The 27,448-nt window shown below is 42.2% G+C and overlaps 1 protein-coding gene and 3 pseudogenes across 2 annotated transcripts in view; 1 reads left to right on the top strand and 3 right to left on the bottom strand.

Moving 5' to 3' along the window:
• ACYP2 (acylphosphatase 2) overlaps nt 1-27,448 on the bottom strand; it is a 334,188-nt gene that overhangs the window by 249,150 nt on the left and 57,590 nt on the right. Inside the window, exon 3 of one of the 2 annotated variants that reach the window (NM_001320586.2) lies at nt 5,101-5,193. The exons of the other annotated variant lie outside the window; for it this stretch is intronic. Coding sequence (NP_001307515.1) covers nt 5,101-5,193 — 93 coding nt within the window. The remainder of the gene's footprint in view (nt 1-5,100; nt 5,194-27,448) is intronic. 2 annotated transcript variants of the gene reach the window in all.
• HMGB1P31 (high mobility group box 1 pseudogene 31) lies at nt 4,391-4,817 on the bottom strand (annotated as a pseudogene).
• On the bottom strand, nt 22,063-22,116 carry LOC124906138 (uncharacterized; annotated as a pseudogene).
• Nucleotides 26,284-26,671, top strand: RPL21P30 (ribosomal protein L21 pseudogene 30; annotated as a pseudogene).

The following is a 27,448-nucleotide window of genomic DNA, read 5'->3' as shown; positions in this document are numbered from 1 at the left end:
AAGACAACCAGCTCTTTTTCTCTACTCCCTGGAGAACCTTTTCTATATGGACATCTTTTTTGAAATTAACTACATTAATCCAGAAAAAGCAGCATTTTGAAATCATAGGAGCCTGGTGCAAATAATTTATTTAACTTCTCTGAGCTTAGGTTTCCATGGAGTGAAAGAAATCTATTTACAGTATGCCTATGGGGGTACTATATCTGACAGTACTACTATATTACAGTATGTCTATGGAGGTACTATATCTGACAGTACTACACATTATTAGACTCTGTGTTTATCACAACACATGTTACAGAATACACAATTTCAATATGTGTCAAATATTTCTCTAACTTCAGAATTCAATTCATAACTGAACACTTAGATGCATTGTTCTCTCTGCCAAATTGGACCTCTGGGTGCATGTAATTTGTTGAACAGCAGATAGGCTTAATATGTCTTTGGCTATTATGTAGTATATGGAGGGTGTCATAGGACAGGTTTTAGAGTTAGATTTAGGATGAAATTCAATCTCCACCATCACGTCCTAAATATATGCTATTAAGAAATTCGATTAACTTCTCTGAGCCTCTATTTTCTATTTGTAAAATAGGAAAATAATACTTTTTCTATCTACCTCACAAGGATTTTTGTAGGAATGAAATTGGACAATATATGTCAAAATGCTTTGTGAATAATAGAATGCTATATAAATACAAATTGTTTACATTATTATCACAATTATTACTGTGAGTAATGGAATTACTATAAATAATAATTTTATTATTCCTGACACATGATTTAGGAAAAAAGGAAGAAATTATCTCATTTAAGAAAAACCAGGCTGGGTGCCTGTAATCCCAGCACTTTGGGTGGCCAAGGCAGGTGGATCTCTGAGGTCAGGAGTTCTAGACCAGCTTGGCCAACATGGTGAAACCCCATCTCTACTAAAAATACAAAAATTAGCTAGGTGTGGTGGTGCACACCTGTAGTCCCAGCTACTTGGGAGGCTGAGGCAGGAGAATTGCTTGAACCCGGGAGGTGGAGGGTGCAGTGAGCTAAGATCACACCACTGCACTCTAGCCCGGTTGACAGAGCGAGACTCTGTCTAAAAAAAGAAAAAAAGAAAAAGAAAAACCAGTTGTTGCATAGCCAGCTCTTTTTTATATGAGGAAAAGTTAGTAAGTAAATATTTACGTAAAGCCAGAGAATTAAAATACAACTTCTAGTCTGCACACTACTACTGAAACTTCTTGGAGAAATCTCCCTAATTTATTTAGCCTGGCTTTCTTATCTCTAAAGTAATATCTACCTCATTAGATTTCTATGAGGACAAACATGGGAAAACAATGGGAGATATGTCAAATCCTTTAGAAGGAAGTCTCTTGTATTCAGATGAGTTATATGTTCCTTCTTTAGATATATGATTGTGGGCAATCATCTCACCTTGGTAATGCATCTTATTTTATGAACAAGACTGCAGATATCATTATCAGAGATGTATAGTTGTGGTAGAGTTAACCCAGGAAATCTTTAAGGAGCACTGGAGAACCTCAGCTTCACTCTTTAATTATAGCATGGTTAACACACAGTACTGTTATGTTAAGAAGACTTCAAACCACAGCTAAGTAAAATCGAGAGACAAAAATGACCCATTGTTTGCAGAAGAGGAGAACAGAACATTCAAGAAAATCAAAACAAGATCAATCTGTCAGCAGAATATCACAAGGACTTCGAACTTCCTTTTCAGACCCAGGAAATTTTCTTTAAAAGAGAAACTTAGAAATGCATCGTTGGCAAGAAAGAGAAAGAAGCAAAAGAAGAACCTTTTTTACATTATTAGCACATTATACCTAATCTAGAAACTATCTGTCTCTTATGCTATTTTTAAGTGCCACCTCAATGAAAAGAAGGTGAATTTTACATCTCACTGTAACTAATAATGTTCCCAGAATAAGTTATCTTATTCCATTGTAGGCAGAAGTCTAGCAAACGTCTTAAACCCTTACCAGCTCTGGGTTATGATAGGCACTCAGAAGCTGTTCTTTCATTGTACAGGAAAATCCCTATCTCGAAACTGTACTTGAATATAAGCCAGGATCTGGGCCTAGGGCCTGAGTTACTGGTTAGGGTTTTTATACCAATTCCATCCTCTACCCAGAGAGTCTGTGCCAGTATCAACATCAAGTTTCTTGACAGGAAATTGCTTTCTTCCCTTTCTTGAAATGAGATTTAATGAAAGACCAGAACACCTGTTGCCCTCTCCCAGTGAGAGTAAACTTTAATTAGTTAGGGTCTAATCAAGAGCAAAAACCACATAGTAATTTAAACAGGGATGTTTAATATAAAGAATTACTGAGTAAAGAAAGATAGGAGAGTGACTCTAAAGATAGAATGAAAGCTCTAAACACTGCTGTAGGACTGAGGGAAAGTTCCAAAAAAGGACAAACTTGGAGGAAGGGATCAGAGCTCATTGAAGAAGGTGTGGTCACAATCTACTTGGTGGCAGAGGAGTTCCTAAGTTGCACAGCCCAGAGATGGCTAAGAGTTGCCAGGAAAGAAGTAACCCTTTGGGGCAGGCAAGTCAGAGCCGGTGGGCAAGCTGGGTGTACACAGGGGGACTGGTACAGAGAGAGTCACAGAGCCACTGTAGGTGTGAGGCCTGGAACACACAGTGTCTGTGTCAGGATATCTAGGACCCAGGAAAGCTGAACTTGATGGGTGGGTGTGCAGAGTGAGTTGGGCTGCCACTGAGGGTGCTGGTGGGACTGAGAGCTGGGGAGGCCTTCCACAGCAACCGAGTGCACCTCTGCATATGACTTGGGCTAGAGTAGTCTGAGCTAGTGGATGAAGGCTGGGCATTCAGTTCACTAGACAGCCAGCCCTATGGGGCCCCCAGCATGCCTATGCAGAGCAGCAATATAGGACAGGGTGAAAGCCATGCTGTCCGGGTCTCCTAACCGCACTCTGCCAGTCAAGAAAAGAGCTGAAGAAGGCACACAGCAAAAGCAATGCCCTGTAGGCACTTATACTGAGCCAACAGTGAAGTTAAAAACATGCTCTTCAGGGGTCCAGCCAACAAGCCATCAGGACCAGGGAGGAAAACACCTTTTTTCTTCAATGCCTCTCTCCAGCACCCTCTACTGATGAAACATTGTGCCAGCTAGTAAAAGTAAAAACTAATTACAGGGCCCAGATATGTTTTAATAGATGAGTCAGTGAAGGGAGCTGAGAGGCAATAAATTGATAACTGGCACATTCTCCCTCTGGGGAAAGCACTCCATACAATCAGACCTCCCCAGTTAGTTGCTTTCTTTCCTGTTCACTAGAGTGTATCTTGTCCTCATGGGCCACCTACTTCCATCAACTTCCCAATGACTGATTTTTCTAACAGAGCCCTTCCAGCCATTTTCAATTGGAAACCTCAGAAATCTATTGCCTTTCTTGAAGGTGGCACAGATGTAAGTGAAGTCCTCTGGTGGCAGATAGAGTATTGCACAGCTCTTTTTTTTTGTTTAAGGACAATACTCATTTTTAAAATTGTATTTACTTAAAAGCATTCAGACTGTCAACAGAACAGCTGCGACTTTTTTTTGCAATTACAGTGTAATATTACGTTAACAGAGCAATTGTTTCTTATAAGCTGCAACAGAGACAACTGAAGATGAAAAATTACAATTCCCATATATAACTTATATATAATTTGTGCTGTGCGCCAAGGAGAACCTGCTTTAAATTTCCATGCCAATTTACAACCCCCATACTGTACCAGACAAAGTACAGTTTTAGCCACATTTTCAATAGTGGCTATTGAAAATGCCACCAGGACAGGGTTATCTAAAGACATGTTCAGTAGTGTGTTTACCATACAAAAAATGACACGGTATAGTTTAAAAATAAATCTTACACAGACTTACATTTCAATTGTTTTTCTTTGAAAGGAATGAGTTGTGTACAAGGGGCTTAAATGCTTTATAGATAAGAAAAAAAACTGCACTAAAACAAACTTATTCAGCATCATCATCTTCTTCATCTTCATCCTCCTCCTTCTCCTCATCCTCTTCATCTTCCTCCTCTTCCCTCTATTTATTTATTTATTTATTTATTTATTTATTTATTGAGACAGAGTCTTGCTCTGTCGCCCAGGCTCCAGTGCAATGGTGCGATCTTGGCTCATTGCAACCTCTGCCTCCTGGATTCAAGTGATTCTCATGCCTCAGCTTCCCGAGTAGCTGGGATTACAGGAATGCATTACCACGCCCAGCTAATTTTTGTATTTTTTTAGTAAAGGCAGGGTTTTGCCATGTTGGCCAGGCTGGTCTCAAACTCCTGACCTCAGGTGATTTTCCTGCCTCGGCCTCCCAAAGTGCCGGGATTACAGGTGTGAGCCACTGAGCCTGGCACTCTTCCTTCTTTTTCTTGCTTTTTTCAGCCTTGATGATTCCTTTTTTTGCTGCATCAGGCTTTCCTTTAGCTCAATATGCAGCAATATCCTTTCATATTTTTCCTTCAACTTCGCAGCCTTCTTTTCATAAGGCTGCTTGTCACCTGCAGCAGTGTCATTCCACATCTCTCCTAGTTTCTTCACAACATCACCAATGGACAGGCCAAGATGATCTCCTTTTATTTTTGGGCAATTCTCAGAACAGAACAGAAAAAAAGCCCAAAGGAGTCCTCTTGGGTGCACTGGGATCCTCAAACTTCTTTTTTGTCACCCGTTTAGGAGGGATATAGATTTTCATTTCTCTTTCATAATGGGCCTTCTCTACCTTTGCCATGTCTTCACTTTTCTCTTTAGCAGACATGGTCTTCCACCTCTCTGAGCACTTCTTAAAAACTCTGAGAAGTTGACTGAAGCATCTGGCTGCTGCTTCTTATGCTCTTCCTGACAAGTTTGCACAAAAAATGCATATGATGACATTTTGCCTCTCAGCTTCTTAGGATCTCCTTTGCCCATTTTTAGTTATTTTTCCTCAGTGAGGCAGAGTCGCCCAATGCCTGTCTGGTTCTCACTTGCCCAGTGCTGTCTCTATGGAGTTCAGTGTACTGCAATGGCTGTGAGAGCCATTGCACAGCTCTTTAAAGGAATTTGTGACCAAGGACGGTGGTTCTCACCTGTAATCCCAACAGCATGGGAGGCCGAGGCAGGAGGATAGCTTGACATTAGGAGTTCTAGAACAGCCTAGGTAGAACAGCGAGACCTTGTATCTACAAAAAAAGAAAAAAATTTAATTAGTTGGGTGCACACCTGTAGTCTCAGCTACTCAGAAGGCTGAGGCAGGAGGATTGCTTGAGCCCAGGAGTTCAAGGCTGCAGTGAGCCATGATGGTGCTACTGCACTCCAGCCTCAATGACAGAAAAAGACATTGCCTCAAAAATAAATAAATAAAATTTTAAAAAGACAAAGGAATTTGATAAGTGCAATCAAAAATTGAACTAGAGACTATAAAGACAATTTTTAGGGGGATGCAATTGTTTTACCCAGCACTGGAGCGGTGTATACATGACTATGCATTTTTTAAAACCCATATAACTTCACAGTAGAAAGAATGAACTTTCATATATGCGAGTTTAAAATTTTGTTTTCTTTAGTTATTTTCTTTTTTTTTTTTTTTTTTCAGGGATGGGGTTTCACTCTATCACCCAGGCTGGAGTGCACTAGATATCATGCTAACTGCAGCCTCCAACTCCTGGGCTCAAGAGATCATCCCACCACAGCCTCCTAAGTAGCTGGGACTACAGGCACGTGCCACCACATCTGCTAATTTTTTAATGACTTCTAGAGATGGGAGTCTCCCTATGTGTGCTTAGACTGATCTCAAACTCCTGGCCTCACATGATCCACCCACCTCAGCCTCCCAAGTAGCTGAGATTACAGGCAAGAGCCACAGCACCTGCAAGACTTTGCGACTTTAAAGGAAACAATATACAGCAGGTCCTCAAATAATGTTTCATTAAATGTCATTTTTTAGACTGTTCATGAAAAAAATTTGGTTTCTACTGTTGCATCATGAGGTCCTAAGGAAAAAAAAGAAAAAAATTTGATTCTTTATATGTCATTTTGCTTAAAGTTGCAGTTTCCAAGAACCTATTGATGTTAAGTAAGGACTTGCTGTACACAGAAATACACGCATTTATTTTCTAACTGTCCACTGAGAAGGCCTAGAAGCAGTGTCCACCCAGTAGCAATGAGCACACTTGTGCATAGATTTGGCTTTCCAAAAACCACTCTTCAATGAAAGAAACCAGGGCTCCTTGGAAAATAACTGATTCTAGGGCTGGATAAGGGAAAATACAAGATAAGCTTGGCAAAAAGTAAGTATAGTGCCAGGAAGAAAGGAATTGCTCAGAAAACAAGAGGGATGTGGAGCCAATCTGAAAGAGCTCCCAATGGCCAAAGCTGGAAAAATGTGAGCAAGCTTCTTATTCTGAGATGAGGAGATACTCTTTTTTAAAAAAAATACTGGTTGAAAGAATAGAAAGTACTCATAGTTGTTTGGGGGGAGTAAGAAGCAGCAGAGGGGCAAGGACTGCTGTTTTTTGTCAAAGGCCTTGGAAAATGATTTGACACTTGCAACCATGCCCATGCTTGCACAGCTTTGAAAGGAAAAAAGAAACCCTACATTAAAGCATAAGCAAACACAAAAAGAATGTAAAGTTAAAAGGGAGGATTTTGACAAGGGAAGGTTTTGTTTGTTTGGTTTGGTTTGTTTTATTAAAATGGGAAACAGCATATTTACATGTGGATAGGAAGCCAATAGAGAAAGCATAAAACCACGGAGAAGAAAAAGACACATTGACAGGGGCAAGTGTCTGAGGAGGTAAGGCAGTCTTATAAGATGGTGGAAGGATTCACAAAAGATCAGGGTGGCACTAGTCAGTTCATTATTATTATTATTATTTTTGAGATGGGGTCTCACTCTGTCACTCAGGCTGGAGTGCAGTGACGCGATCTTGGCTCACTGCAGTCTCCGCCTCCCGGGTTCAAGCGATTCTCCTGCCTTACCCTCCTGAGTAGCTGGAATTACAGGCATGCACCACCACGCCTGGTTAATTTTTGTATTTTTAGAAGAAACAGGGTTTCACCACGTTTCCCAGGCTGGCCTCAAGTGATCTTCCCACCTCAGCCTGCCAAAGTGCTGGAATTACAGGTGTGAGCCACTGCACCTGGCCCCAGCTCATTACTTCTAACCTATCTCAGAACAGACACTGACACATAGCAAATTCTCAGAGAATCTCTGTCCTTGTCCCTGCTGTTGCTTCCTGCTGAGCCCTGAGGTGCACCTACCCTTGCCTGGTATGAGGTGCTCTCATAAACCCTAAAAGTGCAGTCCCTGGGAATTTCAGAGCCAAGTCTGTCACTTCCTCTTGTCAGTGTCTAAATTAATTATCTAAAAGATTTGAAAACAATTCTGCACATTTAGGCACTGAAGATATCTTTAAAAATGCCATATATGTGAATGCATTTAATACTACTGAACTATACACTTAAAAAATGGTTGTAGGTCATGGTGGCATGTGCCTGTAATCACAGCTACTCTGGTGGCTGAGGTGGGAGGATCCCTTGAGCCCAGTAGTTCAACACTAGAGTGAGCTATGATACTGCACTCCAGTGGGGTGACAGAGCAAGACTGTCATCTCTAAAAAAATTAACTAATTGATTTAATTTTTAAAAAGTGGCTGTAATGGTAAGTTTGTTATGTAGCTGTTAACACATGGTTAATTTTTTTTTCTTTTTCTTGAGACAAAACTCACTCCATCACTCAGGCTGGAATGTAGTGGCACAATCACCACTCACTGCACCCTTGACCTCCCTTGTTCAAGCAATTCTTCCACCTCAGCTTCCTGAGCAACTGGGGCCATAGGGTGTGCCACCACACTCAGCTGACTTTTTTTTATTTTCAGTAGAGACAACATCTTCCTGTGTTGCCCAGACTGTCTCAAACTCCTGGCCTCAAGGGATCCTCCTGCCTCAGCCTCCCAAAGCGCTGGGATTACAGACATGAGCCACTGCGCCTGGCCTACAAAAACTTTTATTACAAAAAATATATATAAAATTAGGAAAAATCATCTCTAAATGAATAATACTACATTTGTCAGATTCTAATGACTTAAATAATAGAGTGAAGCCCAAGGTTACAATGCTTAGTGAGACCTGGAAGACCAACTTGATCTTCACCTGCAACCATGGAACCAGCCTTGGCTGGGGGAAAGAACTCACTTCCCAGATCACAGGGTCAATTCTATCTCCCTAGCCATTGACGAGTTTTCTTCTAGAACCATGACTCAACTCTTGAGGAGACAATTTCTTATCGTGGTATGGTAGCTGCGGTCTTTTGTCTAAGTAGAATGTTCATGATATATTTAATGTATTACAACCTTTTTAAAAAATCCATCTCACACTTTAAAAATTTGTTCTCAACTTCAGAAATAATTTTGAAAGAACAAGTACTGACAAAGACTACTTTTAATTATAGTAATAAGCAAGGAACTAATGGGGGGTATTCAGTCAAAAAGGAAAAATATGCTTCCATTTGGCCTCACCTCCACATTTCATTCCTAACTTAGCCCAAACCATATTCTAATACAATACAATCAATTTATTCATGGCAAGGTGGTAATTAGTATGTAGTCCTAGTAAAATGGGTCTGGTGATATTTTTTGATTTGCACCTTCTTTGGTTGGGAATATTGCATTCAATAACTGTATGGCAAATAAAATGACTCGACAGGGCCACGCAGCAGAAGTATTTTCAATAGCAAGTTGCCTTTATATGGGCATATTTCTACATTCTAAAATAATGTCTCCATTATCTTGGTTAGAGTTCAACTCTTTTAAATTTATAAGAAATATGCCATGCATGAGTGTGTGGTGATGATTCACAGATTTGAAATAACACCTACTCTCCTGCGGTTCTGGCACAAAATGTGTCAGTGAAGCCTGCAATTAGGAAAATTATCTTGGCCTGTCTTGCCACAAGATGGTGACGTCAATTATATACATCCAGAGCAGAAATCTGTCCCAAAAATGGGTTTAGAAAACAGTTATCCAGCCTTGCTTGGTGCCTTAGTGCCTTGGTGCCTTTGCAATGTCATCTAAATCTTTGTCACTGATGATAACACGAATAATATCTACTGAAAACTGCAATATAGTTTATTTTAGTCTTCACAACAGCCTTATGAGGTAGACACTATCATGGTCCCTATTTTACTGATGAAAAGAGGTTAAATAAGTTGCCCAAGATTATACAGCCAGGTAATGGTAGAACTTGGATTTGAACCCAGCTCTCTCAGACTCAGATGTTCACTCTTTTGATTAGGATTGGCTATATAATTTGAAGGGTCCATTGCAAAATGAAAGTGTGTTGCCCCCTTATTCAAAAATTATTAATAATTTCAAGATGGTAATAGTGAGGCATTGAACCAACGGGTGCAAGCCCTTCTAAGCACAGGGCCCTGTGTGATTGGACAGGTCATACACCCCTGAAGCTGGCCCTGCTTTTGTTCATATCACTTTCCTCCATTGTGGCCTTATCCCCATGCCTCAACCTAATTCAACAAATATTTTGTCGAGGCCGTATCTCCACTGAAAGAGGTCTTATGTTGATCCATGAGAGATACAGATTCAGCCTGGAGACAAACAACATGTATTTCTCAAGCAACCTTTTTTTTTTTTTTTTTTTTAGACAGTCTTGCTCTGTCACCAGGCTGGAGTGCGATGGCACTGCAGTTCACTGCAGGTTCACTGCAACCTCCGCTTCCCAGGTTCAAGTAATTCTTCTGCCTCAGCCTCCTGAGTAGCTGGGATTACAAGTGTGTTCCATCACACCCAGCTAATTTTTGTATTTTCAGTAGGGACAGGGTTTCACCATGTTGGCCAGGCTGGTCTCGAACTCCTGACCTCAAGTAATGCACCCGCCTCAGCCTCCCCCCAAATTGCTGGGATTACAGGTGTAAGCCACTGCGCCTGGACCTTTTTTTTTTTTTTTTTTTTTTTTTGACAGGGTCTGGCTTTGTCACCCAAGCTAGAGTGCAGTGGCATGATCACTGCTCACTGCAACCTCTGCCTGCTGGGCTCAAGCAATCCTCCTACCTCAGCCTCCCAAGTAGCTGGGACTATAGGCATGTGCCACCACGCCCAACTAATTTTTGTATTTTTTTAGAGACTGGGTTTTGCCATGTTGCCCAGGCTGTTCTAGAGCTCCTGAGCTGAAGCAATCTACCCACCTTGGCCTCCCAAAGTGCTGGGATTACAGGCCTGAGCCACTGCTCCCAGCCTAGCCAATCCTTTTGCTTGTTGAGATTTCACATCATACTGAGCAGCAGAAAGTGTTCCACAATTTTTTTTTCTGGGACAGAGTCTCACTCTGTCACCCAGGCTGGAGTGCAGTGGCGTGATTTTGGCTCACTGCAAGCTCCACCTCCCAGGTTCCCGCCATTCTCCTGCCTCAGCCTCCCGAGTAGCTGGGACTACAGGCGACTGCCACCACACCCAGCTAATTTTTTGTGTTTTTAGTAGAGACAGGGTTTCACCGTCTTAGCCAGGATGGTCTCGATCTCCTTACCTCATGATCTGCCCGCCTCGGCCTCCCAAAGTGCTGGGATTACAGGTGTGAGCCAACATGCCCAGCCAGTGTTCCACAATTTTATGAGTTTTCAATGTCAAGCCTTCTCTTTGGTTGGTCCCTAAAACCTCTCTTTTAATTAGCCTGCTCCTCTCTTAAAAACAAAACACTGTTATAAGACCAACAGTTTCGTATCCCCACTGCATAGTAACACGCCAATACACTGAGACAGGAGGGTTTGCAGCAGAGAAAGAATTTAATGGTTGCAGGGTGCTGAGTAAGAAGATGGGAGGAGACCCTCAAATCCATCTCCCCAAGGAATTGTAGGCTGGGGTTTTTAAGGGGATCGTGGAGGGCGAGGACCTGGAAAACTGGGGTCATTGATCAGTTGGAATAAGGGGGATGAAATCATTAGGATGTGGAAACTGCATTCTTTGGTGAGTCAGCTCCTTTTGGGGTCGTTCAGACCAGCTGATGTCAGTAGTTTCATTGGTATGCAGGACCTGAAGGAATATCTCAAATGGAAAACTTAACATTTTATAATGTTCAAGTTGTTATCTATAAAGCACTTTAGGGACACTATAATCTTGTAACAGGATCTATGAAATTCTAATACAACAGGCACTAAATGACGATGAGGAAGCAGGTCAAAGAGTGAGCTGACCTCATGATAAATGCTGAATATGCTGCAAACTTGGTTTATTTTTATTTCTGTCCCTCCCTTCTTTTCTGATTAATTTTTGTAAAGTTTATAGGGATGGTTTCACAACAACAAACCTTCAGCCACTTTCCACTGCAGTTTCTAGCATAAAACATGGCAGCAGATGTGACAGGAAGTCATTGCAGAAAAAAAAATGGTGGTGTCATGCATTACTCCCTCCTGCTGTGATTATTTGTAGCTGCTTCACCCTGATTATGGGAAAAGGCCTCATATCCTTGTAATTGTAGGGTCCTGATTAATAAACCGTTTGCCTCCCAGGATCTTTTTTTTTTTGAGAGGGGCGGGCAGGAGTGGGGGACAGCGTCTTACTCTGTTGCCCAGACTGGAGTGCAGTGGTGTAATCTCAGCTCACTGCAACCTCCACCTCCCGGGCTCAGGTGATCCTCCCACCTCAGCCTGGCACTGTGCCACCACACTTGGCTTTTTTTTTTTTTCTTTTGGTATTTTTAGTAGACACGGGGGTTCGCCATATTGCCCAGGCTAGTCTTGAACTCCTCGTCCCAAGTGATCTACCCGCCTCAGCCTCCCAAAGTGCTGGGATTACAGGCATGAGCCACCGCACTCAGCCGTAGATCTTCTTTTGAAAAGCTTTCCAAAACTTTCCCTTGGCACCTTTATTCAGTGGAAAGTCTGGAGCTGAGAGGATGACATATTCTTGTGTCAACACATATCCTGAGAACAAAGGGAGTCTGTTTGTGGTGTGTATGGAGTAACTGTGACGTGCAGTTTACATTTCTAGAGAAAACAATGGGCTCTGTGTGTACATCTGTTGCAGGGGAGTGTTTGGAGATGGAGATCTAGAAGAGAGATCTCGTCTCTGTCCTTGATGGGGCTTTCCACTTAATTTGATGCCCAGCCCCGAACTCTCCTTTCCCTTGCTCTTCTCACCAGCTGGAGCTTCTTATTTCTCATCCTCACATACATTTTTACTGTGATTCCCTTTTCCCTAAAAAATGTGGGTAGTTCCTGTTTTTAGTTTCCTCCTAATTGGGATAAGGAGGAGGAATCACAGCTAGCCCCCAGCCGAGACTCTTCACACTTTAGGATTTAAATGTGGACTGCAGGGGTTGATGTATCGCTGCCTTTTATGAATAAGGTTAGATGCAGTTATAGATAATGTGTAAATTTGCCATGGAAGGATGTCTGGATACATATAAGTAACCAGCATGGTAGTTCTCCATCATATCAGACCCATTATCCCCTTTATATAATAAAACATCGCCTTCATGATTTTAAATGAAATTCATATATCATATAATCTAATTCCACACAGGAAAAAATTTTTTAATTAGCACAATGTCATAAGTGTAAAATAAAGAAGAAATAAAACTGGAGTTAGGGTCTAAGTTGAAATAATTATAGATAGATTTTTCATTCATATCAATGCCCTGCAGGGCATTTGAAAGTCAGGCAGAACAGTTTCTTTGTTCTATGGAACTGTTCCACACATCTGTCAGTCTTGGCCCCAGCCACCAAATGCCACTGAGCATGCCTTCAATCACTGTGATAACCAAAAATGCATCCGTAATTCCCAAACCATATCCAAAAAGTGGTCCTGCCCCTGTTGAGAACCACTGGTCTGAGTAGGAGTGCCTGTATATTGGATTCCTTTTGATTGTCCCTTGGTTAAGATATTCAGGTAATAGAATAAGATATATTATACTTGCCATCCTCCCAGGCTAAGAGTTCTGGGGTTTGGCAATCCTGAACTCAACCACTCAACCAGCATGCATTTTCTATGTGTACACAACTATTTTTAGGCCACTAGTTTTAAAATAGCAGACACACACACACACACACACACACACCCCACACACACCCCATATTAACCAAGGTCCCTGGCCACATACAGTAACAAGGCTTTGGTCAGGGAGTGGCCATGCTACGCATGGACTGATGGCTATGTAGAGCAAGGTAGACAGAGCATTTATTTTGTGCTATATTTAAATTATAGGGAGGTGGAAATGGTGGGTGTGCTGATGTGTTTAGGTTCCTAAGAAAGATTGGTTGGTCTTCCACGTTGCTTCTTGGTTCTCTCTCTGATCTCCAACTTGGATTCGTGAAACGAGAGTCTGCATTGTAAATATGTTTTCCCTGGCCAAGGACAGATGGTAACATTTGCCTCTCTTTCGGCCTGCTGAATACAAATTTGAAGCCAAACAGGGACCCAAAGGGAATAAGGGTCCCCTCACCATCGTGCCCCTTGACACACACCCCTAATTAGGATCTACTCAAATATCATTTACCAGACACTAATAAAAATATTGAGTCCTGGCCAAAAAGAAAAATAAAAAAAAGTTGTATGTTTGTGGAAACTTCTGTGAGTCACTCTCCAGCATCTACCCTGGGTCAGTGTGTTTTGCTCCCAGAATAAGCTAAAATTTGAATGGAAGAAGAATTCTAAACAATCTAAGGAAAAACTTAAACAGAATAACCCCTGTACTCTATGACCTATGATATAAGATTTGCTCCTCTTAAATTATTCTGAGCCAAGAGCAACGTTTATAGCTTAACACCAAGCTTGTTTTCTGGGGGTACAGTTCTTATATGGACTATTAAGAATAAAGTGAGTTTGGGCTGGGCGTGGTGGCTCACGCCTGTAATCCCAGCACTTTGGGAGGCCAAGGCAGGGGGATCACCTGAGGTTGAGAGTTCGAGACCAGCCTGACCAACATGGAGAAACCCTGTGTCTACTAAAAATACAAAATTAGCAGGGTGTGGTGGTGCATGCCTGTAATCCCAGCTACTTGGGAGGCTGAGGCAGGAGAATTGCTTGCACTCGGGGGCGGAGGTTGTGGTGAGCCAAGATCGTGCCACTGCACTCCAGCCTGGGCAAGAAGAGTGAAACTCCATCTCAAAAAAAAAAAAAAAGAAAGAATAAAGTGAGTTTGAAGCAATGGACCGGAGACAGAAAATGAATTCCAGAACTGTGTGAGGTGTCTCATGCCTGTGGTCCCAGCAACTTGGGAGGCTGAGGCGGGAGGATTGCTTGAGCCCAGGAGGTTGAGGCTGCAGTGAGCTGTGATCGTGCCAGTGTACTCCAACGTGGGCAACAGAGCAAGACCCCACTCTAAAAAGAAAAAAATGCATTCTAAGTGGGGAAACAATTTATTCTTTCATGTATGCGTTCATTTGATACCTCACCCAGCTTAAACTCACTTATATTATGTTGCATGTACCCTCAGCTCCCTTGCCGCCTCTGACACTGAGATACTCACTTGAATAAACAATAACCTTTGTTGAAGAAAACATTCCCCATAGTCCAGTCGTACACCTGTGCAGCCAAATGCAACTAGTGAAGAACCAAACCATACTAAGAGATCTCACTTTAAATTCATGATCATAAGTTTTGAGTAAGCCCTTAATGCTGCTAACAACCACACTGAATTTCCCTGGCCCTTTTATTCTCCCACTCTCCTGGGTGACTATTTCACACCTTCTCTGTCCTCAAACCTCAAATACTTACTCACCTCCCCTCATCATTCTGATGCCCTTGCTTCCTATTTCACTGAGAAAATAGAATGAATCAGAAGAGAGCTCCCACAAACACCCACCGCTGCATCATGCCCATATTCTGGGCTTCCTTCCTGTGACTGTAGAGGAACACTCTGTGCCCCTAGAAAAGGCCACCGCTGGCCGGGCGTGATGGCTCATGCCTGTAATCCCAGCACTTTAGGAGGCTGAGGCAGGCAGATTGCATGATGCCAGGAGTTCAACACCAGCCTGGGCAACATGGTGAAACCCTGTCTCTACAAAAAATACAAAAAAAAAGAAAGAAAGAAAGAAAGAGAGAGAGAGGAAAAGAAAAGAAAAAAAGAAAAGAAAAGGCCACCGCTTTCCTTGTGAACCAGACACCACCTACTCAAGGACATCACTCCAGCAATTCTCCTCTCAATCACCTGCATCAGCTCATCCCTTTCCCCTGGATCTTTTCCACCTATCTATGAACACTATTTCTCCCATTTTTGAAAAACCCTCTGTTGACCTCACTTCCTCTTTCAGCTACTACCTCCATTTCTTTCTTTCCTAGGGGTTGTCTATATTCCCCATGTCCAGTACCTCTCTAAAACCTAATATAGTCAGTTATTTATCCAATCCACTTCAGTTAAATCACTCTCATCAAGATCTCCTCCACTTTCCTGTTGCTATATCCAACAGCCAAGCCTTAATTTTCATCTTACTTGATCAGTTAGTAGAATGTGATTACTCTTTCCTCCTGAACCACTTTCCATATAGTTTTTAGAAGGGCACTTACCTAATCTTTCCCCTATTTCTCTGGCTGCTCATTATCAGTCTTCTATGTTAGGTCCTGTTCATCTCTCTGACCTCCAAAACTTGGAGCATCCCAAGATTCAGCCCTTGTACCTCTTCTGCTTTCCATCTTCACTGACTCATTTGGCAATCTCCTCTAGTCTCATGACTTGAACTATCATCTAGGATGTGCTAACAGTGTCCGGTCTGCATGTCTCCCCTATACCCCAGATTCACATATCCAGCTGCCTCCTTAATATTATCACTTGAATAAAAGACATCTCAAGTTTAACAAGTCCTAAACTGAACTCCTGATTGCTGCTTGTCACTGCCCTACCACCAAATCCTGTTCCTTTTCTTCTTTTCCCGAGTTGCAGAGTTCAAAGCCTTGAAGTCATACTGGATGCTTCTTTTCCTCTCACACCTCACATCTGACCTATCAGCAGATCTGTCTGATTAACCTTCAGCATATGTCCAGAATCTGACCAATTCTCACCACTTCCACTACTACCACTGCTGTCTTTTACCTAAATTACTGTGGGAACCTCCAAACTAGTCTCCCAGCTTCCATCTTTGACATGTTGAGATTCTTCTCAACACAGAAGCCTGGGCCAGGCACAGTGGCTCATGACTGTAATCCCAGAACTTTGGGAGGCCAAGGCACAAAGATCTCTTAAGCCCAGGAGTTTGGGGCTGCAGTGAGCTATGATTGTACCACCACACTCCAGCCTGGGCAACAGAGCAAGACCCTGTCTCAAAACACACACACACACACACACACACACACACACACACACACACACACACACAAAAGAAAACAAATATAAAACACAGAAGCCTGAGTGACACCGATAAAAACATAAATTCAAGAAGATCACTCTTCTGCTCAAAAACCCTCCAAGCCCTCCAAAGGGCTGCATGTGCTGGCTCATGCCTGTAATCCCAGAGCTTTGGGAGGCTGAGGTGGGTGGATCGAGGAGTTCGAGACCAGCTTGGGCAACATGATGAAACCCCATCTCTACCAAAAATACAAAAATTAGCCAGGTATGATAGTGCACACGTGTAGTCCCAGCTACTAGGGAGGCCAAGGTGAGTGGATTGCTTGAGCTCAGGAGTTCGAGATCAGCTTGGGCAGCATCATGAAACCCCATCTCTAGAAAAAATACAAAAATTAGCCAGGCATGATAGTGCACACCTGTAGTCCCAGCTACTAGGGAGGCTGAGGCGGGAGGATCGCTTGAGCCTGGGAGGCAGAGGTTGCTTGAGCCAAGATCACACCACTGCCCTCCAGCCTGGGCCACAGAGTGGGACCCTGTCCCCCCCCGCCAAAAAAAAGGAAAAAGAAAAAAAGAGAAGAAAAGAAAAAAAAAATTAAAGCACGATGTAGGCTGGGGAAAAAAAAAAAAAAAAAACTTCCAAAGATATTTTTAGTAAAAGTTCAACTTGAAAAATTATTTTAAAGCCCTACATGCTCTGCTCACTGCCCATTCTCTCCCAACCTCACCCTCTACTTCTTTCCCACTTCCCTGTTCTATTATAGGAGCACGCTCCCCACCCTTTGCTGTTCCTTGAACATTCCAGACACCTCAGGACCTTTGTACTAGCTGTTCCTGGGATGTTCTTCCCCCAGATATGACTCACTCATTCACTCACTCAACTCCTTCCCTCAAATATCTCCTTCTCAGTGAGCCCTTCCCTGTTAACCCATCTAAAATTGCAATTTCAAGAGCTCCTTTTCCCACTTACTGGCTTTACTTTTTTTTCCTGCAGAATTTATTGCCACCTATGGAACAAATGTTTATTTTATTTATCTTTTTTTTTTTTTTTTTACCTATTCTGACAACCAAAATGTGAGCTCCAAAAAGGTGGGGGTTTTTTCATCTTTTTTCATTGCTGTATCTTAGCACTTAGAAGAGTATATATATATATATATATATATATATATATATATATATAGTATTCAATAAAGATTTATTGAATGAATGAATGCCTACTGTATGCAAAGAATCACCTTTAGGTTCTGGTGAAACAGAGAGGAATAAAGTTACTGAACACTCTGCACTTCAGGTTCCTCATCTACAAAATGGAGATAATAATAAGCCTCATGGGACTATTACAAGGATTAAATGATCAATAACTTATGTAGTGCTTAGAATAGCACCACGCACTTAGTAAGTACTATGTTAAGTAAATAAAATACATACATATATATATTTAAATCCCTGCCCTCAAGAAGCTCACATATAGTGGAAAGTAAGATATATTTGCAAAAAAAACAAAGAGTATGCAGTGTTAGCAAAGAAGACGGGAAAAGGGTCAACTTACCCTTAGGGTGAAAGAAGCCTTCACAGAGAAGCTGAACTTAATGTGAATCTTGGAGAATGAGGAGGTGTCTACCAGGCCAAAAATAAGGGCATCCTAGGCCAAGGACAACCGAACAAATGTTTGAATCAGGACGCTCAGAGGTTAGAATAAATCTGTCCTCCCACCTTCCAGGAAGTGTTGATCCAGAGTTGTCTCAATATATCCAGCTTGTTTTTCCTACTTCATGCTTTAATTTCCTTATTATATAAGGGAAGGTGTTGGTAACACTGAATATTAAATTGTAGTAATTTCACTGTGTAGGAGAGAAAGCTTCGGAGATTTTTACACCCTGGGGAAATATTTATTCCAATCTGCATGATGCACACAGTGAAAAGCACCTGCTAGCTCTAAGTCACCTTCACATTCCTGAAAGAATTTCCAAGTTTCTCATAGTTTATTGATATTTATAATGTTGATATTTTCAATCTTCTGATATGACCATTGATAACCACCTAGCTTATTAAAAGTCTTACATTTCATTTGTTTCAAAAGCACTCTGATTTCGATTTTACTATATATTTTATTCACTTTTTTAAAGTTAATTAAAAGCATGTTTTAGGCCGGGCATTATGGCTCACCCCTGTAATCCCAGCACTTTGGGAGGGTGAGGGGGGAGGATCACTTGAGGCCAAGAGTTCAAGATTAGCCTGGGTAACATTGTGAGATCTCATCTCTACAAAAAATTTAAAAGTTAACTAGGCATAGGGGTTCACTGTGGTCCTAACTACTCAGGAGGCAGAGGTGGTTGGATTGCTCGAGCCTAGGAGGTTGAGGCTGCAGTGGGCCGTGATTGTGCCACTGCACCTCAGCCTGGGTGACAGAGCAAGACTCTGTCTCAAAAAAACAAAACAAGCTTGGTATGGTGGCTTATGCCTGTAATCCCAGCAATTTGGGAAGCTGAGACAGGTGGATCACTTGAGAACAGGAGTTTGAGACCAGCCCAGGGAACATGGTGAAACTCCGTCTCTACCAAAAATACAAAAAAATTAGACAGGCATGGTGGTGGGCGCCTGTAATCCCAGGTATTTGGGAGGCCGAGGCCAGAGGATCACTTGAGCCTGGGAGGCAGAGGTTCTAGTGAGCCAAGATTGCACCACTGCACTCCAACCTGGGTGACAGAGCGAGATTCTGTCTTAAAAAACAAAACAAAATTCTAACGTCCATTGAAATATTTTCTAAAGGAGTTTTTCTCTACATTAAAAAATAGGAGTTAGGTCCTTTGGCCAGAAACTCAATGTAAAATTATATACATATTAATTAGGGACAACATTACTTCACACAACTCTAAGTCCTCTTAAATGAGTGATCTAGAAATCAGAGGAGAGGGACCTGACCATGAAGCAGTCAAGGCATCATCCAGGGAAGACCGCAGGGGCCACGCAGGAGGTAACAGAGCACCACAGTTGGGTGTCCAGTTTTCAGGATATGGTCCAGAAACAGTCCCGCCAATGTCCTGGGTGTAGGCCCTGAGAGATCCTAGACATTCAAATGCCACTTTATTCATTTACAATGAGAAATTAAACTCTCACATGGACCAGAATTTTCTTGCTTGCCTAATTTGTGCATTTTCTCCTTGAAGTCAAGGCAAAGAGAAGCCAATTCACCATCAGAAGACACTTTACTAACTTACCATGAGAAATCTCTATCTTGGGGACAGAAACTTCAAGGTGTGAATGCTCTGTGCATTTTCTCCCTGCAGACAGCCTACATGAGAAGTCAAATCATAATCTGAATCCTGCTCAGTAGTAAGAATGAAGATAGATAATCAAATATATGGAAGTGGGCTAAAAGACACTGTGGCACACTGAATAAGGCCCCCAAAGATGCCCACAGAAACTGTGAGTGTTACTTTACATGGCAAAAGGGACTTTGGGCTGGGTGCGGTGGCTCACGCCTGTAATCCCAACACTTTGGTAGGCCAAGGTGGGCAGAAATCACCTGAGGTCGAGTTCCACACCAGCCTGCCAACATGGTGAAACCCCGTCTCTACTAAAAATACAAAAATTAGCCAGGTGTGGTGGCATACTGCTGTAATCCCAGCTACGTGTGGAGCTGAGGCAGGAGAATCGCTTGAACCCGGCAGGCAGAGGCTACAGTGAGCCAAGATCATGCCACCGCACTCCAGTCTGGGTGACAGAGCAAGACCCTGCCTCAAACAAACAAACAAACAAAAAAAGAAATATGTATGCTAAAGGTTAAGACTTTCTTTCCCCTACTCTAAGCTTGGAGAGGTACTGCCAGTTTTGTCTATATGTTTACCTAGGCCAATCAATCGTCTTTTGACTGATATCTTTAGATATATTAATATACATTTAATTATATTGTTGACATTTTAGCTGGCCTAAGACTCAGCCTGTCTCCTTCAGGAAATTTAATATTTTTCTGCTCTGATCCTACAGTTTATTCTCAAAGGGCAATCTTATTTCCTCATTCTCAAGTCCTTAGAAGGTACTTCTCCATGATCACCCAAAATGTTAACAAATTATAAGAAGGAAACATCTACCATTGGGTAAAAGCCTGGTGCCAACAGGTAAGTTTCACTCTCTTCTATAACCGAAAATTATAGGTAGCCATTCTAATCCTAGAATTGTCTGAAATTTGTCACAAATGGGTCAAACTGTGATCATGTAGATGGTTGAGTATAAATTTAATACCACTACTCAAAAGATAACTGAACAATTTGCTTTTGAAATTGTCTCTAGGCCGGGAGCGGTGGCTTGCACCTGTAATTCCAGCACTTTGGGAGGCCGAGGCGGGTGGATCACAAGGTTAGGAGATCGAGACCATCCTGGCTAACACAGTGAAACCACGTCTCTACTAAAAACACAAAAAATTAGCCAGGGATGACGGCGGGCGCCTGTACTCCCAGCTACTCGGAAGGCTGAGACAGGAGAATGGCGTGAACCCGGGAGGCGGAGCTTGCAGTGCGCCGAGATCGCACCACTGCCCTCCAGCCTGGGCGACAGAGCGAGACTCTGTCTCAAAAAAAAAAAAAAAAAAGAAAAAGAAAAAGAAATTGTCTCTAGTTAGAGTCAGGGCCGGTCTAAAAAGTAGGAGAAGTGAATACCTTTGCTCATGAAATCACAACATGGTAGCAACAGCTGAAATCCCCATTTTTGCCGAAAAAGAAACTGGGGCCTAGAGAAGTTAAGTGATTTTGCCCAAGGCTGGGGCTCTTAAATGTCAGTGTGTGAGGACTCAAACCTCTTAAACCTCTTAACCAGAGTCTAGGCTTTTTTTTTTTTTTTTTTTTTTTGAGATGTAGTCTCGCACTGTCGCCTGGGCTGGAGTGCAGTGGCATGATCTCAGCTCACTGCAACCTCCGCCTCCCAGGTTCAAGCGATTCTCCTGCCTCAGCCTCCTGAGTAGCTAGGATTATAGTCGCCTGCCACGACGCCCAGCTAATTTTTTGTATTTTTAGTAGAGACGGGGTTTTACTATGTTGGCCAGGCTGGTCTTGAATGCCTGACCTCGTGATCCACCCGCCTCGGCCTCCCAAAGTGCTGGGATTACAGGCGTGAGCCACCGTGCCCAGATGAGTCTAATCTTTTAACCATTACACTATTGATATGATTTAAGAAATATGGGAAATATCCCTGTTGTAAATATACTGTCATGTGTCACTTAACATTGAGAATATGTTCTGAGAAATGCATTGTTAAGCAATTTCATCGTAGTGCAAACATCTTAGACTGCACTTACGCAAACCTAGATGGTATAGCCTACTACACATCCAGGTGATAGGGGATAGACTATCACTCCTAGGTTACAAACCTGTACAGCATGTTACTGTACTGAATACTGTACGCAACTGTAACACAATGGTAAGTATTCGTGTATCTAGATGTATCTAAACACAGAAAAGGTACAATACAAATACAGTATTATAGTCTTATTTTGGGGGGTAGAGGTTGGAGTCTCACTCTGCTGCCCAAGCTGCAGTGCAGTGGCATGATCCCGGCTCACCGCAACCTCCGCCTCCTGAGTTCAAGCAATTCTCCTGCCTCAGCCTCCCGAGTAGCTGGGATTACAAGTGCCCACCACCATGCCTGGCTAATTTTTGTATTTTTAGTAGAGACAGGGTTTCACCATGTTGGCCAGGCTGGTCTCAAACTCCTGACCTCAAGTGATCCACCCACCTTGGCCTCACAAAGGGCTGGGAGTCTTTTCTTTTATTTTGGGCTTTCTGGCAAAAACCAAAAAGCCTGCTTCTAAAAGAGCTGTAACACTGCTATTACAGTCTTATGGAACCACTATTATATTTGGTCTATCATTGATCAAAATGTCATTATGTGACACATAACTGTATTTCCCCATTATCTTTCAGGATGTCTGAAATATTATGATTCATTTGGTCTTGACAGCATGTATTTCTGGGAAAAGTGAAGCCAACTCTTTTCAGAATCTAGGGAGAAAAAATCATTATGTTCTTTCTTTATTTCTGTTACTAACACCTTACTTCAGACCACCATCATTTCTCACCTGGATTATGGCAACAGCCATCCGGCTGGTCTTCATGCTACCTTGGTTGGCTCCTTGCAGTCTGTTCTCCACATTACAGCCAGAATGATCTTCCCAAAATGCAGGTCTGATCATGTCACTCCCCTGCCTGAAAGCTTTCAGGGGCTCCAGATTGTCTTCAGCATGGTCTACACCAGTGTTTCTCACACATTAGGCAAAACCTTATATAACACACAATTTTCATCATTCCCCCACTCTCCTAAAAGTAAATTCATATAGAAATGTGTGGATAGGCCAGGCATTGTGGCTCACACCTGTAATCTTAATTCACTGGGAGGCTGAGACAGGAAGTTTGCTTGAGCCCAAGAGTTCGAGACCAGCCTGGGCAACACAGTGGGACCCTGTCTCTACCAAAAAAAAAAACAAAACACACACAAAAATTAGCTAGGCATGGTGGCACACAACTGGGGTCCCAAGTACTTGGAAGGGTGAGGTCGGAAGATAGCTCATGCCTGGGAGGTCAAGGCTGCAGTGAGCCTTGGTTAGACCACTGTGCTCCAGCCTGGACAACAACGCAAGACCCTGTCTCAAAAAAAAAAAAAAAAATTGCCCACAGGCACGACTGAGGGGCCTAACCACACTCCCACACTCATATCTCTGTGAGCCTCATTAATTTCGCAGACCTCACAAAGCTCAGACTGCTCTGAGCCACCTTTCTTTGTTCACCCTGATTAGTTTGCCTTGGGCTTTAATCCTCATAAACTGCCTAAATACCCAACACTGTACATACAATGGTTTTTGTCAATAGTTTTTGTAGAAGCCACTTTCTCTGCCTGGAACTCTTTCTTTCCAGCTTTATCTGACTAACTCCTTCTCATTCAGGTCCCTCCTTAGAAATGCTTTCCTCGGGCAGTATGGCCATTTTCACAATATTGATTCTTTTTATCCACGAGCATGGAATCTCCTTCCATTTGTTTGTGTTCTCTTTTATTTCATCGAACAGTGGTTTGTAGTTCTCCTTGAAGAGGTCCATCACATCCCTCATAAGTTGGATTCCTAGGTATTTTATTCTCTTTGAAGCAATTGTGAATGGGAGTAATTTATAGATTCAATGCCATCCCCATCAAGCTACCAATGACTTTCTTCACAGAATTGGAAAAAACTACTTTAAAGTTCATATGGAACCAAAAAAGAGCCTGAATTGCCAAGACAATCCTAAGCAAAAGGAACAAAGCTGGAGGCATCAGGCTATCTGACTTCAAAGTATACTACAAAGCTACAGTAACCAAAGCAGCATGGTACTGGTACCAAAACAGAGATATAGACCAATGGAACAGAAAAGAGCCCTCAGAAATAAAACCACACATCTACAACCATCTGATCTTTGACAAACCTGATGAAAACAAGACATGGGCGAAGGATTCCCTATTTAACAAATGGTGCTAGGAAAACTGGCTAGCCATAAGTAGAAAGCTGAAACTGGATCCCTTCCTTACACTTTATACAAAAATTAATTCAAGATGGATTAAAGACTTAAATGTTAGACCTAAAACCATAAAACCCTAGAAGAAAACCTAGGCAATACCATTCAGGACATAGGCATGGGCAAGGACTTCATGACTAAAACACCAAAAGCAATGGCAACAAAAGCCAAAATAGACAAATGGGATCTAATTAAACTAAAGAGCTTCTGCACAGCAAAAGAAAATACCATCAGAGTGAACAGGCAACCTACAAAATGGGAGAAAATTTTTGCAATCTACTCATCTGACAAAGGGCTAATATCCAGAATCTACAAAGAACTTAAAGAAATTTACAAGAAAAAATCAAACAACCCCATCAAAAAGTGGGCGAAGGATATGAACAGACACTTCTCAAAAGAAGAAATTTATGCGGCCAAAAGACACATGAAAAAATGCTCATCGTCACTGGCCATCAGATAAATGCAAATCAAAACCACAGTGAGAAACCATCTCACACCAGTTGGAATGGCAATCATTAAAAAGTCAGGAAATAACAGGTGCTGGAGAGGATGTGGAGGAATAGGAACGCTTTTACACTGTTGGTGGGACTGTAAACTAGTTCAACCATTGTGGAAGACAGTGTGGCGATTCCTCAGGGATCTAGAACTAGAAATACCATTTGACCCAACAATCCCATTACTGGGCATATACTCAAAGGACTATAAATCATGCTGCTATAAAGACACATGCACATGTATGTTTATTGCGGCACTATTCACAATAGCAAAGACTTGGAACCAACCCAAATGTCCATCAATGATAGACTGGATTAAGAAAATGTCGCACATATGCACCATGGAATACTATGCAGCCATAAAAAAGGATGAGTTCATGTTCTTTGTAGGGACATGGATGAAGCTGGAAACCATCATTCTGAGCAAACTATCGCAAGGACAGAAAACCAAACACTGCATGTTCTCACTCATAGGTGGGAATTGAACAATGAGAACACTTGCACACAGGGTGGGGAACATTACACACCAGGGCCTGATGTGGGGTGGGGGGAGGGGGAAGGGATAGCATTAGGAGATATACCTAATGTAAATGATGAGTTAATGGGTGCAGCACACCAACATGGCACATGTATACATATGTAACAAACCTGCGCATTGTGCACATGTACCCTAGAACATAAAGTATAATAATAAAAAAAGAAGAAGAAGTGCTTTCCTCCAAGAAGCCTTCCCTGACACCAATGAGACATAACCTGCTGAACTTCCTCTGTTATAGCACATGTCACATTGTGTCTGCGCCCCTTACTGCTTTGGCCACCTCCTCCTAGAGGATGAGTTTCTTGAGGGCATAGAGTATGCTGTGGTCACTGTCACACACACAATGATTGGCACAGATCTGACCTTCATAATGAAAAAGAAAAGGAAGTTGGAGAGCTTCAGTGACTAATTTGGGTGAACTTGTTTATATTTCTACTGAAGGAAACTTTGGGAAAGGAAAACAATAAGGTTAGGAGTACTAAAGGTCAGTTATTATTTTTTAGAGACATTATTTTGCAAATGTATAAAAATGAAAAAAATACACATATTTTGAAAGTATTAAAATGGCCTTTCAGCTGGAACCGCCGTCTTCCAGTAATTCGCCAAAATAACGAACACAAAGGGAGAGAGGAGAGGCGCTGGGTAGATATTCTCTAGGCCGTTTAGAAAACGTGGAGTTGTTCCTTTGGCCATGTATATGCGAATCTGTGGCAGGCCAACTCTCCCTGACAATTGCACAGACGGGGCTGCATGACAGTCACACAGACAGGCCTGCATAGCACTCCAGTTAGACAGACAGGTTTCCATAGCACTGCCTTAACATTGAGCAAATAGTTAAACCTAGGGAAATCAGTGCCCAGACATCAAAGCTAGAAATGAAACATATGGTCAGTAGGAGCCTTGCATGGGCTTCTCCCTAACCTGGAGCAAACCAAAATAATAGAGACAGTCATACATTCCTTGTGCCAGGAGTCGACGAAATCTGAGACGAGTCAAGGTAACAGAGGCAGCTGTTTGAATAGATTCATTGGAGAGTCTAAGGCAGCTCGCCAGGCCAAGCCGTAAAGGAGATAAGATAGAAATAATCACTCCAGTATCACAGTAGACAGGCCTTGAAGGTCCTGGGGCCCCCACAGTTTAATCAGACTTAGCAAGCATTTTTTTGCCTCCGACCTTCTAATTGAAACAAAATTAGCTACCAATAGACTTAGGTGAATATTAGACTGGTCTTGGGCTCATAACCTCAACCTACATAAGCACTAAGAAAATTGTAACACTTTGAATTGGTCTGGTGGAATTATCTCGGGCCTTCTCCCTGTATCTGGTTACAGCAATAAATTCCCTTCTTTCCTAGTTTGTCTGCTTCTCATTATTGGCGGGCCTCGAGAAAACACAGCCGGACCCGGCTTGGTTCTGGGAACAAATCTGTAAGAAAGGTGATATTGTAGACATCAAGGGAGTGGGCACTGTTCAAATAGGAATGCCCCCCAAGTGTCACCATGGCTAAACTGGAAGAGCCTACAATGTTCCCCAGCATGCTGTTGGCATTGTTGTAAACAAACAAGTTAAGGGCAAGATTCCTGCCAAGAGAATTAACGTGGGTATTAAGCACTTTAAGCACTCTACAAGCTAAGAGAATTTCCTGAAACGCATGAAGGAAAATGATCAGAAAAAGAAGGAAGCCAAAGAGAAAGTTACCTGGATTCAACTGAAGCACCAGTCAGCTCCACCCAGAGAAGACAATGTGAGAGAACCAATGGGAAGGAGCCTGAGTTGCTGGAACCACTTCCCTATGAATTCATGCATAATACATATATACACATATATGTGTGTGTACATATACATATATACATATGTGTGTATATATATGTATATATATGACCTCTGGACGGAAAAAAAAAGTAATAAAATGTAAGAAACCTGGTAAATATGACCTCAGGTAGGTCATCAAGGTAAACATCAACAGTGAGAGGTTATGCTGGTAGTATGTACCCTTGATATGTGTGATGAAAATGGTACTCCACCGCTGTAGTTTTTGTAGGAGTGAAGGGAAAACTTCCTCTTCACCCTCTGAAGGTTCACTGAAAAATCAACTGACAAAGGGCAGATTTTTTTTTCTTTTCCTGAGACAGGATTTCCCTCTGTCACCTAGGCTAGAGTACAGTGGTGTCATCATGGCTTACTGCAGCCTCAGCTTTCCAGGCTGAAGCCATGCTCCTACCTCGGCCTCCTGAGTAGCTGGGGACCACAGGCAACACCACCATACCTGGCTAATTTTTAAAATATATATATTTTGTAGAGATGAGGTCTCACTATCTTACCCAAAGTGGTCTCAAACTGCTGAGCTCAATGATCCTCCAGCCACCAGTTCTCAAAATTCTGGGATTACAGAAGTAAACCACTGTGCCGAGCAAGATTAATAGGGGAAATGGTGTGCAAATTTATTAACGTGTGCAGGGAAGAACCACAGAGCGTTTCCCAACTATGCAATGAACTACAGATGGTTATATGCCCTTCTTTTTAGGGGAAAGGGAGATGGGGAAGAGTGGATGATTTTAGGAGAGTAGTAAATGGTATTTAGGGGAAT

The sequence above is a fragment of the Homo sapiens genome, chromosome 2 (genome assembly GCF_000001405.40).
Source record: "Homo sapiens chromosome 2, GRCh38.p14 Primary Assembly".
Taxonomy (NCBI): Eukaryota; Metazoa; Chordata; class Mammalia; order Primates; family Hominidae; genus Homo; species Homo sapiens.
Note: the sequence above shows the minus strand (reverse complement) of the source record. Positions and strands in the feature narration are given on the sequence as shown.